This window comes from Homo sapiens, chromosome 12 (genome assembly GCF_000001405.40).
Source record: "Homo sapiens chromosome 12, GRCh38.p14 Primary Assembly".
In the NCBI taxonomy this organism is placed as follows: Eukaryota; Metazoa; Chordata; class Mammalia; order Primates; family Hominidae; genus Homo; species Homo sapiens.
The window spans coordinates 47426318-47429599 of record NC_000012.12 but is presented as its reverse complement, the minus strand read 5'-3'; the positions used below and the strand labels follow the sequence as shown (position 1 = coordinate 47429599).

At 43.9% G+C, this 3282-nt stretch overlaps 1 annotated feature.

Moving 5' to 3' along the window:
* Window positions 2147-2796: an enhancer, noted in NCBI's record as "OCT4-H3K4me1 hESC enhancer chr12:47820587-47821236 (GRCh37/hg19 assembly coordinates)". NCBI's record gives its function as "activates a minimal SCP1, AML or CMV promoter by ChIP-STARR-seq in naive H9 embryonic stem cells {active_cell/tissue: H9 hESC(naive)}" and the evidence as "EXISTENCE:reporter gene assay evidence [ECO:0000049][PMID:30033119]".

Below are 3282 nucleotides of genomic sequence, written 5' to 3'. Positions count from 1 at the left end.
CCTGAGTTCTAGTTTGATTGCACTGTGGTCTGAGAGATAGTTTGTTATAATTTCTGTTCTTTTACATTTGCTGAGGAGAGCTTTACTTCCAAGTATGTGGTCAATTTTGGAATAGGTGTGGTGTGGTGCTGAAAAAAATGTATATTCTGTTGATTTGGGGTGGAGAGTTCTGTAGATGTCTATTAGGTCCGCTTGGTGCAGAGCTGAGTTCAATTCCTGGGTATCCTTTTTGACTTTCTGTCTTGTTGATCTGTCTAATGTTGACAGTGGGGTGTTAAAGTGTCCCATTATTAATGTGTGGGAATCTAAGTCTCTTTGTAGGTCACTCATGACTTGCTTTATGAATCTGGGTGCTCCTGTATTGGGTGCATATATATTTAGGATAGTTAGCTCTTCTTGTTGAATTGATCCCTTTACCATTATGTAATGGCCTTCTTTGTCTCTTTTGATCTTTGTTGGTTTAAAGTCTGTTTTATCAGAGACTAGGATTGCAACCCCTGCCTTTTTTTGTTTTCCATTTGCTTGGTAGATCTTCCTCCATCCTTTTATTTTGAGCCTATGTGTGTCTCTGCCCGTGAGATGGGTTTCCTGAATACAGCACACTGATGAGTCTTGACTCTTTATCCAATTTGCCAGTCTGTGTCTTTTAACTGGAGCATTTAGTCCATTGACATTTAAAGTTAATATTGTTATGTGTGAATTTGATCCTGTTATGATGATGTTAGCTGGACATTTTGCTCATTAGTTGATGCAGTTTCTTCCTAGTCTCTATGGTCTTTACATTTTGGCATGATTTTGCAGCGGCTGGTACCGGTTGTTCCTTTCCATGTTTAGCACTTCCTTCAGGAGCTCTTTTAGGGCAGGCCTGGTGGTGACAAAATCTCTCAGCATTTGCTTGTCTGTAAAGTATTTTATTTCTCCTTCGCTTATGAAGCTTAGTTTGGCTGGATATGAAATTCTGGGTTGAAAATTCTTTTCTTTAAGAATGTTGAATATTGGCCCCCACTCTCTTCTGGCTTGTAGGGTTTCTGCTGAGAGATCTGCTGTTAGTCTGATGGGCTTCCCTTTGAGGGTAACCCGACCTTTCTCTCTGGCTGCCCTTAACATTTTTTCCTTCATTTCAACTTTGGTGAATCTGACAATTATGTGTCTTGGAGTTGCTCTTCTCGAGGAGTATGTTTGTGGTGTTCTCTGTATTTCCTGAATCTGAATGTTGGCCTGCCTTGCTAGATTGGGGAAGTTCTCCTGGATAATATCCTGCAGAGTGTTTTCCAACTTGGTTCCATTCTCCCCGTCACTTTCAGGTACACCAATCAGATGTAGATTTGGTCTTTTCACATAGTCCCATATTTCTTGGAGGCTTTGCTCATTTCTTTTTATTCTTTTTTCTCTAAACTTCCCTTCTTGCTTCATTTCATTCATTTCATCTTCCATTGCTGATACCCTTTCTTCCAGTTGATCGCATCGGCTCCTGAGGCTTCTGCATTCTTCACGTAGTTCTCGAGCCTTGGTTTTCAGCTCCATCAGCTCCTTTAAGCACTTCTCTGTATTGGTTATTCTAGTTATACATTCTTCTAAATTTTTTTCAAAGTTTTCAACTTCTTTGCCTTTGGTTTGAATGTCCTCCCGTAGCTCGGAGTAATTTGATCGTCTGAAGCCTTCTTCTCTCAGCTCGTCAAAGTCATTCTCCATCCAGCTTTGTTCCATTGCTGGTGAGGAACTGTGTTCCTTTGGAGGAGGAGAGGCGCTCTGCTTTTTAGAGTTTCCAGTTTTTCTGTTCTGTTTTTTCCCTATCTTTGTGGTTTTATCTACTTTTGGTCTTTGATGATGGTGATGTACAGATGGGTTTTTGGTGTGGATGTCCTTTCTGTTTGTTAGTTTTCCTTCTAACAGACAGGACCCTCAGCTTCAGGTCTGTTGGAGTACCCTGCCGTGTGAGGTGTCAGTGTGCCCCTGCTGGGGGGTGCCTCCCAGTTAGGCTGCTTGGGGGTCAGGGGTCAGGGACCCACTTGAGGAGGCAGTCTGCCCATTCTCAGATCTCCAGCTGCATACTGGGAGAACCACTGCTCTCTTCAAAGCTGTCAGACAGGGACATTTAAGTCTGCAGAGGTTACTGCTTTTTGTTTGTCTGTGCCCTGCCTCCAGAGGTGGAGCCTACAGAGGCAGGCAGGCCTCCTTGAGCTGTGGTGGGCTCCACCCAGTTCAAGCTTCCTGGCTGCTTTGTTTACCTAAGCAAGCCTGGGCAATGGCGGGCGCCCCTCCCCCAGCCTCGCTGCCGCCTTGCAGTTTGATCTCAGACTGCTGTGCTAGCAGTCAGCGAGACTCTGTGGGCTAGGACCCTCCGAGCCAGGTGCGGGATATAATCTCGTGGTGCGCCGTTTTTTAAGCCCGTCAGAAAAGCACAGTATTCGGGTGGGAGTGACCCGATTTTCCTGGTGCCCTCCGTCACCCCTTTCTTTGACTAGGAAAGGGAACTCCCTGACCCCTTGCACTTCCTGAGTGAGGCAATGCCTCACCTTGCTTCGGCTCGCCCACGGTGCGCACACCCACTGACCTGCGCCCACTGTCTGGCACTCCCTGGTGAGATGAACCTGGTACCTCAGATGGAAATGCAGAAATCACCCGTCTTCTGCGTCACTCACGCTGGGAGCTGTAGACCGGAGCTGTTCCTATTCGGCCATCTTGGCTCCTCCCCGTCTTTCTACTATTTTTTGACTTAAAGATTGTTTTATGTAAGTATAGCTACTCCTCCTCTTTTTTGATTTTCATTTTTTTCTTAATCCATTTAGCCCACCTCTATCTTTTAAATGGGAACATTACACTCAAGGTTATTAGGTTATTATTGATATGTGTGCACTTATACCAGTCACTTTATTTATTAATTTCTGGGTTTTTCCCATATTCTTTGTTTTTTTCTTTCTCCCATTGTTTATTGTAGCTTTGTGGTTTTCTATAGTGTACTATTTGAGTTCTTTGTCTTCCTTATTTGTGTGTTTGCTCTACTGATGGGTTTAATACTTTTGTGTGTTTTTGTGATGGTGGACATCATCCTTTCACTTGCAGGTATAGGACTCCCTTAAGGACTTTATTTCTCCTTCATTCATGAAGAATAACTTTTCTGGGTATAGTATCCTTGACTGATTTTTTTCTTTTAGCACTTTGAATATAATATCCCATTCTCTCCTGGCCTGTAAGGTTTCTTGCTAAGAAATCTGCTGTTAGGCTGGACATGGTGGCTCATGCCTGTAATCCCAGCACTTTGGAAGGCCAAGGTGGGCAGGT